This window comes from Homo sapiens, chromosome 12, assembly GCF_000001405.40.
Source record: "Homo sapiens chromosome 12, GRCh38.p14 Primary Assembly".
Lineage (NCBI taxonomy): Eukaryota > Metazoa > Chordata > Mammalia > Primates > Hominidae > Homo > Homo sapiens.
The window spans coordinates 68169791-68182904 of NC_000012.12; the positions used below are offsets into that span (position 1 = coordinate 68169791).

Consider the following 13114-nt stretch of genomic DNA (forward strand, 5'->3'; position numbering starts at 1 on the left):
AGTCTTGCTGTCCGGAGACTTTATTGAGCTTGGTCACATAGACAAGATTGACACCTGTATGATTGACTTTGGTCTCTAGCCCTTTCAGAGGTCAATTTGATACTTTGTGGCCCAAGGCTCCCACCATAGATCACATTGTTAGCATAGATTATGTCGCAGGGCTTAAGGCCTCTAGGAAACCAAAGACACTCTTATCAGGCAGGACATTCCAAGGGCATAGAGGTTACATCCCCAGTGTTGGAGACAAAGACCAAACCTCTCTTCGGATGAAGTTAATCCTGTACTGCATAATATTCCTTTATTTTTTCCCTTTTAAACTGTTTGTTCTGCTATAACTTTTTTATGATTACCTCATGCTCAATTGGCAAATAAGAAAATGATGTTGATAAAATGTGGAATTATTTTTGGTTTATACTAGATTTTTCCCAGCATGTTAATGTTTTAAGACAACCAAGGCTTAAATGGTGGCTCACGCCTGTAATCCCAGCAATTTGGGAGGCCGAAGCGGGTGGATCACCTGAGGTCAGGAGTTTGAGACCAGCCTGACCAACATGATGAAACCCCATCTCCACAAAAAATACAAAATTAGCCAGGCCTGGTGGTGCATGCCTGTAATCCCAGCCACTTGGGAGGCTGAGGCAGGAGAATCACTTGAACCCAGGAGGCGGAGGTTGCAGTGAGCCAAGGTCGCATCATTGTACTCCAGCCTGGGCAACAAGAGCAAAACTCCATCTCAAAAAAAAAAAAAAAAAAAAAAAAAAAAAAGGACAACCAAACATATGTCTTCTCACATTTAGGAAAAAGCCTTAGCAATATTTGAAGACCTTTTTAAAAAGTCAAAAGTTATAGAAGTGTTTTACTTTAATACCAGTAGTAATTGGTTTAGTGGATTCAAGAATTGCTAAATTTCCACTATCTGGGAAGCAGCAAGTGCAGATGAAGGAACTTTTCCTCCTGTATAAAATCAATGGATTAATGAAAATGGCTGTACCTCAGGTGGAATTTTTAATCGGAATCAAAATGTTCTCTACCAGAAACACATGTCCTCAGGCCCTACATCTCAAAAGAGGAAGCAGCAGTCCAAATTACCAGGCTGCAAAGAATGGATTCACTATGATGACTGGCGGAAATTCCCAAGAGATTTTTAAATGCCTGGTTTTGGTTAGGACTTTTGTTGCTTTTGTTAATGCTCTGAGTATAAAGTTTGAGAAGTATTGAATGGAATGTCCCAACTATAGTTGTCTCCATAGGCCTTGTTATTTTTAGTCTTAGGTTTTGCAGAACCTATATGTTATAATTTCCCAAATTAGGAAAGGCCATTATTAGTCAAGCAATATCTAAACTGAAGACCCTAACCTTAGTGTAAAGACTGCAAAAGTCAAAAAAAATTTTAATAAATCTGGATTTGGCTCCAGTAAAACGGAGCTTAGGAATAAGTGTGTGTGCAGCTAAAGATTTCTATCAGCAAAAATAATGGTGCCTCATAGTAATTAACAGCTGCCACAGTGCTTTATATGCACCATCTCATTTAATTATGACAACCATCCAAAGAAGACAAATTTATTTTTGTTTTATAGAGGAGAAAAATGAGTCTCAGAAAATAAGCAACTTATCCAAAGTCACTGGCCTAGTAAGTGATAAAGCTGGGTGTGGCTAAGTTCACTGTTGATGCTCTTAACCACTCAGCTGCAACCAGCCTAGCTACTGCTCTCTAATTTGCTCCTGAAAGCTTAACGTGCCTAATATTATATCATTAAAATTATTTGTGCACATATATGAAAAAACAAATCTGACTAATTTTAGCTGAAAGGTAACATTTAATGAAGGCATATGGAGGAGCTCATGGATGGAAGACATAGCTGAGGAACCATGTTCAATACAGACAATCTACCAGGCAATCCCAGAAGGTCTCTGCCGCAGAAACTACTCAGCCCTTCTGCAGAGCACCATGCAGGAACAAATTGGTAAATTCCAATGCTTTTGTTCTTATCTTTGTACCACTCTGCTCCAGAATCAAACCCTAGAAAGTGAGTCTAATGAACACGGATGAGTTGACTGCCTGCTGGCATTAATCCTACAGTGCTGAGTAAAAAAAAACTGGTAGAAGGACCCTCTAGGTATCCTTTGGATTTCATGATGAGGTACAGGCAACCCCATGTGCCAGATTTACCAATCCAACCTGACCAAACATATTGAAGGTAATGAGATTCAAAAAAGAAAAAAAAAAGAACAAAACAAAACAAAAAAACTAGATTGTCATTAAAATGAGGGCAGATTTTTTTTGGCAAAACAGAGAAAAAAATGACCTCAACAGGGACATTCAGAAGCACTCTTGAAATGACAAAACCCTCAGTGGAATTTATAGCATAACTTTCTTTTTAATATTCCATTTCTGGGTCAATCCTTGATCCTGTTAACACTTTAATAAGCAGCAACAAAGAGAGGCATCACTGCAGAGACTGTGCAGATACTAAATCAGCTTATGTACATTCTGTCTAGGAAGACTTTTGGAACAGAGGCTGGCTTGCTGTTCATCAAATTTATTTGTGAGTTCTAGCCCATGGAATGTGAGTGGAAGTGATGTGTGCCATCCTCCATGGGCCATCTTCCATGTTTCTTCTCTGTTGACCAACTTGATACGAACATGCACAGTGACCTCACAGTCCAAGTATTGAAGATGGTGAAGATGGTGGAGCCACAGGATGAAAGGATCCTGGTCCTGCTTAGAGAAGAGATAGCTCCTGTTCTGTTACATCTATTTTTGACTTTACATGAGCAAAAAGTAAACTTCTATTAGGTTTAAGCCATTTTACATTTTAATATAGCTACTGAAACCTCGCATCTTGACTACAGCTTTTATGTAAATAAGAAATATGGCCTGTAATCCCAGCTGTTTGGGAGGCTGAGGCAGGAGGATCACTTGAGGCCAGGAGTTAAAGGCTGCAGTGTACTATGGTCAGACCACTGCACTCCAGCTTGGATGACAGAGACCTTGTCTTTAAAAGAAAAAGAAAAATGTATATTTCATATTTTAAAATAAATTTTTGGCTGGGCACAGTGGCTCATGCCTGTAATCCCAGTGCCTCAGAAGGCCGAGGCAGGAAGATCTTTTGAAGCCTGGAATTCAAAACCAACCTAGGCAACATATTGAGACCTTGTATCAAAAAAATATTTTTTTTAATTAGCTGGTCATGGTGTGTTGTGCCTGTAGTCCCAACTACTCAAGAGACCAAGGTGGGAGGATCGCTTGAGCCCAAAAATTCAAGGCTGCACTGAGCTGTGATCACGTCATTGTGCTCCAGCCTGGGCAACAGCCTAAGCAACTCTGTCTCTAAAATATATACATGTATTACATATAAAGTAAATTCTTGGCTGGGCGCAGTGGCTCACGCCTGTAATCCCAGCACTTTGGGAGGCCAAGGCAGGCGAATCACGAGGTCAGGAGTCCGAGACCAGCCTGGCCAACATAGTGAAACCCCGTCTCTACTAAAAGTACAAAAAATTAGCTGGACATGGTGGCAGGCACCCGTAATCCCAACTACTCAGGAGAATGAGGCAAGAGATTCACTTGAACCCAGGAGGCAGAGGTTGCAGTGAGCCGAGATCACGGCACTGCACTCCAGCCCAGGCAATAATGTGAGACTCTGTCTCAAAAAAAAAAAAAAAAGTAAATTCTTAAATTTACTTTAATGGCTTTAGAGCAAACACCGTCACTGCCTACTCAGACTTACATTGCCCAAAAACCTATTCCTTTCATGTTTATAATACTTCCTTGTTGGGATTGCCTTCTTAAGACTTTTTAAATTTGAAAAACCTATAAAGCCACTGTTTATTTGCTATTTATCAAACTTTAATTTGGGTTTTTTGTTTTGTTTTGTTTTGTTTTTTGCATTCTGATGTTTTTTTTTTCTTTTTTGTTTTAATTTATTTGCTTGCATGATTATTTTAGCTATAATTTTAGCTATCATTTCCCTAATTCCAAAAGAATTTGTGGTAACTGGCATTTAAAGGTTTTTTCCTAATCTTTTAACTTAGAAAGGCAATGGGTATCATAAAGCTAAGTAAGAAAGCTAAAGTTCTTATCTCTTTTCTTCTTCAAAGAGGGTAGCTTCTTTTAGATTGCAGCACAGAATTTTTTTTTTTTTAACTTCAGGCAACTCTAAACATGTGTCAGTTTCTTTAATTAAGATTTGGCATCCCCAACCATCTCATCTGACAAGAACAAGCAAGGGGGAACATATTCCCTATTTAACAAATGGTGCTGGGAGAATAGGCTAGCCATATGCAGAAAATTGAAACTGGACCCTTCCTTAAACCTTATACAAAAATTAACTCAAGATGGATAAAAGACTTAAATGTGAAACCCAAAACTATAAAAACCCTAGAAGAAAATCCAGGCAATGCCATTCAGAAGATAGGCATGGACAAAGATTTTATGACAAAAACACCAAAAGCAATTGCAACATAAGCAAAAATTGACAAATGGGATCTAATTAAAATAAAGAGCTTCTGCACAGCAAAAGAAACTATCATCAGAGTGAACAGACATCCTATAGAATGAGAGAAAATTTTTGCAATCTAGCCATCTGATAAAGGTCTGATATCCAGAGTCTACAAAGAAGTTAAACAAATTTACATTAAAAAAAAACTCAACCCCATTAAAAAGTAGGCAAAGGATATGAACAGACACTTCTCAAAAGAAGACATGCATGCAGCCAACAAACATGAAAAAAGCTCAACATTACTGGTCATTAGAGAAACGTAAATCAAAATAATAATCAGATACCATCTCATACCGGTCAGAATGGTGATTATTAAAAAGTCAAGAAAAAATGATGCTGGTGAGGTTGCAGAGAAAAAGGAATGCTTTTAGATGGTTAGTGGGAATGTAAATTAGTTCAACCATTGTGGAAGACAGTGTAGCAATTCCTCAAAGATTTAGAAACAGAAATACCATTTGAACCAGCAATCCCATTATTGGGTGTATACCCAAAGGAATATAAATCGTTCTATTATAAAAACACATGCACACATATGTTCATTGTAGCACTATTCAAAATAACAAAGACATGGAATCAACCCACATGCCCATCAATGATAGACTGGATAAAGAAAATGTGGTATAAATATACACCATGGAATACTATGCAGCCATAAAAAGGAATGAGATCATGTCCTTTGCAAGAACATGGATGGAACTGTAAGCTGTTATCCTCAGCAAACTAACACAGGAGCAGAAAACCAAACACCACATGTTCTCACTCACAAGTGGAAGCTGAACGATGAGATCACATGGACACATGGGGGGAACAATACGCACTGAGGCCTGTTGGGGAAGTGGGGTGAGGAAGAGCATCAGGAAGAATAGCAAATGGATGCTGGGCTTAATATCTAGGTGATGGGTTGATCTGTGCAGCAAATCAGCATAGCACACATTTACCTATGTAACAAACCTGTACATCCTGTGCGTGTACCCCAGAACTTAAAATAAAAATTGATGGAATAAAAAAGATTAGGCATCCCAAAACTTAATGATATATAACTTGTCCTATTTGAAAATTAGAAACATCATTTGCTAATTAGAATCATAGATCATGACTTATATGCTGGTCATATTTATGGTTGCATTAGGAATCCTATCAACCACAAAAAAAGTATGCCCTGCACTCTGTCTTTTTTTTCCTAAAAAGAAAAATAAAGCCAATCACAAGAGGGAAAATCTAAATGACATTTCACAAAGTGTTCAATCTATGCTTCCATTAGGAAAGTGAAAGAACCCAAGAATGGGAAATATTTCTTGTCACCCCAGGTGAATTTGAAGAAGTATTTTTCTGGTTGGCTTTTTCAGCAAGACTAACAACATTCTGTTCTATTGGCCTGTGGTCAGGGGTTTCCCCCAAGGTGCCTTCCATCTCTCGGCAAAGAGCAGTAACTTGGTGGGTTGTTTTCTTCTTAGTCACCTGATAGGATTTCCCAGGACAGAGGTGTCAAGCCAATTCTGACCTAACTTCCCATGTCCTTCCTGTGGGTCACCCTGAGAAAAAAGGAAATCGCTCTTCTCCCCCACCTGGTGCTGATGTCATTCCTCTCTTCAGCCCAGCGTCTCAATGCACTCAGGGACGCTTCTGCCTCTGCAAAGAGCAAAGGCTTCAAGTGATGGCCTTGCATGGTAGCATTCTCTATCACAGAGTCAGGAAGCTCTTAGACTTCCTTTTATTTGAAGAACTGCAAGGAAACCACCTGCAGAGCTCCCAAGACCTCAAGAGTTTGTTTTGCACCTTCGCTCTTCTGAGGTAATCACACCTGCTGCCACAGCTTCAATAGCTGAAGCCAAGGAGTAAAAATTGCACCAACATCTATAAATCCATATGAAGCTGAGTGGTCTGAATAACCTTACCAGATGTTTTTCTCATAGAAGAAAAAAAGTCCAAGTTATCCTCATGTGCTTTTCTTCCTCACTAGGTTTTAAGGTCCTAGAGAGTATACACTGCCTCTTAGTCTTCTTCATCTATCTCAAAGTGCCTGGCTGAGTGCTTTACATGAAGTATCCAATAATTCTTGACCATCAGACCTGGGGGGTGGAACCAGCAGGGCCATTTAGCCAGGGCTGCAAGCCCAAACAGATCTCTATTCTTCAGCTGCAAGTTAGTGCCCAAGCCACATAGGGAATAGGATGATACCTCATTACACATGCTGATGTTAGCTTTAAACTATGCCTGCCCTCTGTTTTCCTAAAAGCTGTGTTACTGCCAATCTCAAAAGCTGCTGTTCATAGTCATTCACTGTTGGACATTAATGACAAATCACTTTCATGAACTGACATCCATTTAAAGGGATTTTTTAAAAATGTGTTTATCTCATAACTGCTCCTGTTTATATGAGGATCCTGTCTTCTTTGAGATTATAATGACAACAAATGTTATTCGTTTTCTGCACTATTCATATAAACAACATAACTGGGCATAATACTTTCATGATATCATGTCATTACTAATAAATCACCTTTTTAAAACATCTCTATGATAGTATCATGGTTAACAAACAGCACAGACAAAGGAGCAAGACTGAGTTTGAGTCCAGGCTCCATCTTTTACCAGCTGTGTAAACTGTGTGAATCTAGGCAAGCTCCTTAAAGTCTCTGGACTCTACTTCACAGGTTTTTTGTGGGATTCAAATGAGTTATATGTGCAGCTCTTGGAATAATACTTGGCATATAGCAAGCACAATGTGTGCTCATCATTTTTATTTCCATTTTATGGGTTTTTTTCCCTTGTAACCTGATTTAGAAGTTGTATTTGTACATTTCTTCATGTTTAACGTATTTGTTCAGGTTAAATTGAAATATTTTACATATAGAAACTGAGGTTGGGTTACCTCAGAAACAGAGCTTGAGACAAGGATTTTTTTTTTTTTTTTTTTTTTTTGGTGGTGATTCTAGGAAGCACCAGTAGAAAAGAGGCAAAGAGATTCAGGGAAGGGAAGGAAGTCAGTTCAGGGTGGTTCCCAAAGGGAGCTACTGTAGTCAACTGAGACTCAGCCCACTATAGACCTCTGGGTGATGGTGTAGCCCATACCCCAAAGTTATCCTGCCCAAGGGACGAAGAAGTTGGGGTATCTATCCTGCGACTATCTTTAGCACTGTCTGAGCACTGCTCCCAGGGCATTAAACCCCTAGCTCTTCCAGTCTTCCTCATGTGAAAATAGAAAGAAGCCCTTAGGCCAAGAATAGTGAACTGTTACAGTCACAGGCAGAGGGTAAGAAGAGAGAGGGAGGCTGCTGAGAGGATGTTGGCAAGGCAGGTAGTATCTGCTATGAGAAGTTATTAATTATTCCCTCATATTTTTTTTCAGTTTTTATTACATCCTTTATTTTTCGGCATTAGTGTCAGTATACCAACAAGTTGCATTTGCCAGGACTTTTGTGGTGACAAGTGACGAAAATTCCAGTCACACTATTTTGATCAAAGAAAGGATCTCAGAGACAGGTACTCAAGTGTTGACAGGATTTGTCTCTCTAGCTGTCACTTCTGCTTCTCTTTGTGAGACAATGTCAATCCTGCCTCCCACAGAGCAGCATTCACCAGCTGGAAGGTAAGTTAGCCATTAAGGCATTTAATTGAAACACTGCACTAATTCATCAAATACTTGCTGAGCTACATATTTATATCATCAGGGAAATGCAAATTAAAACAACAAGATACCCACACACCCATTATGAAATGGCAAAAATCTGGAACACTGACAACACCAAATGCTGGCTGAGACGTGGAGCATCAGGAACTCTGACTGAAGGTACAGCCACTTTGGAAGACAGTTTTGCAGTTTCTTATAAAACTAACCTTACTCTCACTATACCAGCCACCAATCACAACATTCCTTTGTATTTACCCAAAGGAGTTGAAGTCTTATGTCCACACAAAAATCTGCACACAGATGTTTATAGTAGTTTTATTCATAGTTACAAAAACTTGGAAGTAACCATGATATCCTTCAGCAGATGAATGGTTTCATAACTGTGGTGTATCCATACAGTGGAATGTTATTCAGCCTAAAAAGAAGTGAGCTGTCAAGCAATAAAAAGACATGGAGGAACCTTCAATACATATCACTAAGTGAGAGAAACCAGTCTGAAGAGACTACACACTGCATGATTCAACCATATGACAGTCTGAAAAAGAAAGATCAGTGATTGCCAGAGGTTGGCAAGAGGAATGAAAAGGTGAACACAGAGCATTCTTAGGACATGCAAACACTTTGTGTGGGACTCAGAATGAGAGATACACATTCTGCCTTTGTTCAAACCCATAGAAGTTTCAACACTGAGAGTGCAAACCATGGACTTTGGATGATGATGATGCCATTGTAGGTTCATCAGTGGTAACGAGCGTACCTCTCTCATGGGAGATGTTGATTATGGGGAGAGGCTGTATATGTGTAGGGGACAGAGGGCATACGGAAAATCTCTGTACCCTCCTTTTAATTTTGCTGTGAACCTAAAAGTGCTCAAAAAAAATAAAGCCTATTAAAAAATACTTGTTGATGTGCAAGACATTCTTCTAGGCACTGAAGAAACAGCAAGAACTAACAAAAAAGGGACAAAACTCCTGTCCCCATGGGCCTTACATTGTAGTGGAGAAGATTAACATAAACAAACATGTAATTGTGTAATACAATGTCAGGTTGTGATTATGATTTGAAAAAGGAAAGCAGGAGAATGGAATAGTGCTATTTTAGATAGGGGGGTTGGGGAAGACTTTTCTGAGGAAAGAACATTTGAGCAGAGACCTGACTGAAGGTGGTGAGGGAGTCATGGACACGACTGGGAACCATGTCCCAGGCAGAGAAGAGCCAAATGGAAAAAGTCAAGACAGACGCCCCTTCAGCGAGGGCTGAGTCATAGCAGGGGTCATGTGTCTGGACCTGAGGAGCAGGCAGTGGGGTTGGAAAGATAACCAGGGGCCAGATCATGCCCCCAGAAAGCATTTTGGGTTTTATTCTAGAGGAAATGGGGTACTCTCTACTGGGTTTTGAACAAGAGAGTGACATGATCTGAGATATATTTTAATGGGATCACTGTGGTCAGCAAATGGAAATTTGGCTCTAATGGGACAAGGGCAGAAACTGAGAGGCCAATTTAGGAGGCTTCTGTACTCATCCAGGAAAATCCAACTGTGGGGCTCCAACAGTTCAAATGAATTCCCACCCAAAGAGTCAGAAAAAATATGGCAACACGCCCCCTCACAAATCATGTGTACCATATAAGCCAGCTTCTATAGAGGAAGGAAAGGTACTGGATGGACAAATAACAGGGCCCATCACATAGTTGTAATTTACAAATTACCTCACAAAAAGTGGTTATTTAAAATTTAGACACACTCCATCAGGATCATATGTCATCATTCATGTACAAATGAAGCATGTCATTAGAGCTTTGAAATTTCTGTTTTTAAAGATAGGAATGTAACTTTGTCCTAAAATAAAAATAAAATGAAAATATTGCTTTGATGAAAGCTTTATTATCATTTAAATGCACCTGCTAAAATTTAATATAACCCAGTAAATAAAAATGTATAGCAATTCTCAGAGTCAAACAAACAAAAACTGAGCTTATTATTAGTCATACTGAAAAAGAAGCTCAAAATTAGAGTTTTTTCATTGATACCCAACTAACATGCCAAAACTCAAAGAGTTGAAAAGCACTCCTGAAGGTAAATATACCCTTCTATAACCGTTATCAAATAAGACATAATTGTCTATATATTTGTCCATCTTATCCTTCCAACTTCATTTCACACTCCAGTTTTATTTGTTTGTCGAACACTAATTGTCTTTTTTTTCTCATCAGCCCTAACATATTGTAAAGTTCCATTTGTAACTACTTTAATATCCACATTATCATGCATCTTTCAGTAAAGTAAAAAATTGTCCAAGTTTCTCCATTCTCAGAGTTTTGTTTTTTGGTTTTTTTTTTTTTTGTTTGTTTGTTTTTGAGACGGAGTCTCACTCTGTCGCCCAGGCTGGAGTGCAGTGGCGCGATCTCGGCTCACTGCAAGCTCCGCCTCCCGGGTTCATGCCATTTTCCTGCCTCAGCCTCCCGAGTAGCTGGGACTACAGGCGCCCGCCACCGCGCCCGGCTAATTTTTTGTATTTTTAGTGGAGACGGGGTTTCACCGTGTTAGCCGGGATGGTCTCGATCTCCTGACCTCGTGATCCGCCCACCTTGGCCTCCCAAAGTGCTGGGATTACAGGCGTGAGCCACCGCACCCGGCCCATTCTCACAGTTTTACTACTTCTGTATGCTGACAGCCTGTCCATCTCTACCTCTAGGACAGACCTCTCTCCAGAACCTCTGATCCACCCAGCCCACTGCGGTGTAGACGGCCTAGAGCAGGTGTTATCTTGCTTAAGACTCCTTTGTTTAGAAGAATTACAAATCAGCTTAAGCTATCTTAAGAAAAAAAATTATTTAAGAACCCAGGTTTTGCTCAGAGAATCCAGAGCAGGAAGTTCAGCCATGGTTCAAGACCTTTCCCTATCTCTCTCTGGTTGTGTGCTACATAGTTGATCATCTCCACTTTCTGTGCACATTTGCCTCATTCTTTCTCCTCCTGCATCTTCCTCTGCTTCTCCTCTCACAGCTCTGGAGTTTTTACTTGTCCTATGGTTTCAACTATCTGAATCATAAATTAGAATTTCCAGTAGGAGCTGATTGATTTATCTCAGCCTTAAAGAACCCACAAGCCATTTTAAGATCTTCCCTGTGATGTGTGAAACCAGAAACTACATTTCCCAGAATCTTCTTCCTTGTATATTTCCTGGTTAGAGTTAGGCAATTGCAAGAGATTTAGAAAGTGAGATCATTATTCTCTAGAGGCGGGAGCATGAACAGATGTGAGGTTCAAAACAGCTTCCTGGCAAGCTTTTGATAATTTTCCACCTCAGTGCTACAGACTGACAGGGTGCATAGGAGCCCTGCACACAGCTCAGTGCTGTAGACTGACACTGTTGGTGGTGGCTTGCCTGACCACAGCTCCCTACAATGGTTGAATCAAGCTCTTGAGCTCTAAATCCCTACATTAAAACCTCACGCAACCTTGCAAGTGGAATAAAATACCTAAAGCAGCTTCTGTTTTCCTGGTCAAACCTTGACTGTTACACCTGAAAAAGCCAACAAACAAGGCTGCCAGGTGTGAGGTGGCTCTCAAAGCAGCTGTCTTAGTCACCCTAAACATAATCTAGCCACCCTAAGCATCCTCCTCTTGTGTTTTCTCTCCATGGTGGTGACATCAACTCTATCCAGTACCCTGAGAGGAAACCTCTCCCACATCAGCTCAGTCTCCTCAGTTCTGCCAATTTTATCTCCTAATCTGTCTAATATTTTTAGCTTTCTGTCCGTCCTTGGAAACAGCCTTATTATCTTTCCTGAACCCTGATAGCTGCCTAACTAGCTCTTGATCTCTGCTTATAGCCCCCTGAGCATCATTTTTTCAGGGATTCTTTCCAAAAGGAAAATCTGATTAGGGAAGGCCTTCCCTCAAATAAGAGTCACTCATATCTGAAAGTTATTTAACTTGTTGCAGGAGACCATCCCTGTGCTTCTGCCTACCCACCCATCCTCATGTCAGCATTCTCTGACTCCCATTTTAAACTCCAGCATTGCCATCTGGATTTCAGCACCAAGCTCTTGCTGAACCCACTGTCAGCTGATGGACCTGATAACTTCTACTTTTTAAGACTCAGGTTGGACATCACTTGTTCCAGGAGGCTTTTTTTTTTTTTAAGATGGAGTCTTGCTCTGTCGCCCAGGCTGGAGTGCAGTGGTGTGCAATGGCACAATCTTGGCTCACTGCAATCTCTGCCTCTCGGGTTCAAGCAATTCTCCTGCCTTAGCCTCCTGAGTAGCTGGGATTACAGGCATGCACCATCACATAGGGCTAATTTTTGTATTTTTAGTAGAGATGGGGTTTCACCATATTGGCCAGACTGTTCTTGAACTCCTGACCTCAAGTGATCCGCCTGCCTCGCCTCCCAACGTGCTGGGATTACAGGCGTGAGCCACCGCGCCCAGCCTCAGGAAGCTTTTGATGATTCACTCAGGTTGAATGCAGTTCTCATCCCCTGTGTTCCCTTAATATATTATATATAGCTCTGTCACTGTACTGATCATATTATCTTATAATTTTGTTTATATGCTTTAAGCTAGGAAGTTTTCCAGGACAAGAAATTTTGTTTTACTCATCTTTGTAATCCCAACATTTAGCACAGAGCCTAGCACATAACAGATGCAATTTATTATAAATGATTAATGAAAAAAAATATGAGATTTTTTGGGAGGCCGAGGTGGGCGGCTGAGGTCAGGAGATAAAGACCATCCTGGCTGGCACAGTGAAACCCCATCTCTACCAGGCGTGGTGGCGGGCGCCTGTAGTCCCAGCTACTCGGGAGGCTGAGGCAGGAGAATGGCATGAACGTGGGAGGCGGAGTTTGCAGTGAGCGGAGATCGCGCCACTGCACTCCAGCCTGGGCAACAGAGAGAGACTCCGTCTCAAAAAATAAAAAAAGATAAAAAATAAAAATAAAAAGAGATTTTTAACAAAATGAAAAGACAAGCCAC

The 13114-nt window shown here is 40.4% G+C and overlaps 1 annotated feature.

Moving 5' to 3' along the window:
- Positions 6118-6177: an enhancer, noted in NCBI's record as "active region_6632". NCBI's record gives its function as "activates an Ori minimal core promoter by ATAC-STARR-seq in GM12878 lymphoblastoid cells {active_cell/tissue: GM12878}" and the evidence as "EXISTENCE:reporter gene assay evidence [ECO:0000049][PMID:35858748]".